Below are 2,221 nucleotides of genomic sequence, written 5' to 3' on the forward strand. Positions count from 1 at the left end.
ACCTGATTAACAGTTATTTATAAAGCACGTTTTCCTTTTCACATACCTGTGAAACATTTGCCAAGACAGGCCCTATCCGGGGTCATCAAAACAGAATCTCAGTACATTTGAAAGGATTCAGGTCATGGGCTGTGGCGTGAGTGTGTCCCCTCCAAAATGCAGGTCTCGCCAGCGTGATGATGTTGAGAGGTGATCCGCCGTGCGGCTCCTCCCGTGGGTGGGGTGAAGGCCGTTCTGCCCGAGGCTTCCTCCACTAGCCCTTCCGCCTTCCTCCTGTGCGGACTCGGTGTCCTTTCTGTCTGGAGGGTGCAGCCCTCACCAGGCAACTGGACCTGCTAGCACCTTGATCTCAGACTTCCCAGCCTCCAGAACTGTGAGAAGATACATTTTTGGTTTTTACAAATTACCTGGTCTCAGGGATTTTATTGCAGCAGCACACGGCGGACTAAGGCTCACACACAGTGTGCTCTGTAACCACGATGGACTGAAATTAGAAATCAGTAGCAGAAAGATTTCTGGAAAGTTCCCAAATGTTTGAAAACTGAATAACATACTTGTAAATAACCCATGCATTAAAGAAGAAATCCAAAGGGAAATTAGAAAGTGTTTCGAACTGAATGGAAATGAAAACAGAGCATATCAGAACTTGAAAGATGTCCCTCAAACAGCAGATAGGAGGAGATTTAGAGCCCAGAAGACCACTAGTAGATGAAAAGAAAGGTTTCACATCAAAGCTCTCTCCTTTAACCTTAAAGAGCCAGTAAAAGGAAAGAAAATTAAACTGAAATTAAGCAAAAGTGAGGAAACAATAAAGAAAAGAGAATAAATCAATGGAATAGAGAACAGAAAAACAAGAAAGAAGATCAATGAAGCCAAAAGCTTTTTTTTTTTTTTTTTTGAGGTCATTAAAATTGGTAAACCTCTAACCAGACTGACTGGAGGAAAGAGAGAAGACATAAATTATAAATATCAGAAATGAGAATGATGACATCACTACAGATTATATAGATATTAAAAAGATAGTTGGGAAATATGATTAACTTCATTCCAATAAATTTGACAAACTAGATAAAATTCACAAATTAGTTAAATACACAAATAACCAAAGTTCTCTCAAAAAGAAATAGCTGTCTGGGATACCCCTTAACTTATACAAAGAAACTGAGTTTGTAGATAAAAATCCTTTCACAAAGAAAATCCTCAGAATGTTTGATGCAGTGCCGCTCCAATACGGTGGGGCGAGTCTTCCTAATAAATCATGTTGACCTAATCCAATAACTAGATGGGAAAAATGAATTGACCCTCATTTCACATGATTTAAAAGTAGCTTAAAAACCACCTCAAAGCATCAGGCCAGATAGATTTTAGACCTGAAAGTGAAAGGTAGAACAATAAAGCCTCCAGGACATAATATAGGGCATGACCTTGAGGTGGTTGCTAACCATGAAGGAAAAGGTTAAAACATGGGATTTTATCAGAATTGATCATTTATGTCCATCAAAAGACTCATCTCCAGAATATATGTTTTAAAGGAAACCCCCAAAAATTAATAGAAAAAACACAAACTTTTATTTTTTTTTATTTTTTATTTTTAGACAGAGTCTCCCTCTGTCACCCAGGCTGGAGTGCAATGGCATGATCTCGGCTCACTGCAACCTCCACCTCCGGGGATCAAGCCATTCTCCTGCCTCAGCCTCCCGAGTAGCTGGGATCACAGGTGCCCAACATCACACCTGGCTAATTTTTGTATTTTTAGTAGAGACAGGGTTTCACCATGTTGGCCAGGCTGGTCTCAAACTCCTGACCTCAAGTGATCTGCCCTCCTCGGCCTCCTAAAGTGCTGGGATTACAGGTGTGAGCCACCACACAATTATTTTTTTTTAGAAAAAGTTGGCAAATAGCTCATACAAGCGCTCCATAAGGATATTGAATTGGTTACTATACAAGTGTGCTGACCCTCATGAGTTATCCAGAAAATGCGTATTAAAATTACAAAACAGTATCACTACACAGAATGGCTAAATTTTTAAATTGAAGGTACAAAGTGTCGACAAAGATGTGAAGTAACTGGCAATACACTGGTAAGAGTGAGTTGACACAGCCATGCTGAAGATCCATCCACCCGTGTTTCCCAACACCACGCCTGCCAGCATTTATGACCTGTTAATTTGCTCATTGATATATACCCAACATAAATGTGTTTATTTACCAAAAGGTGTGT

This window comes from Homo sapiens, chromosome 8, assembly GCF_000001405.40.
Source record: "Homo sapiens chromosome 8, GRCh38.p14 Primary Assembly".
NCBI lineage: Eukaryota > Metazoa > Chordata > Mammalia > Primates > Hominidae > Homo > Homo sapiens.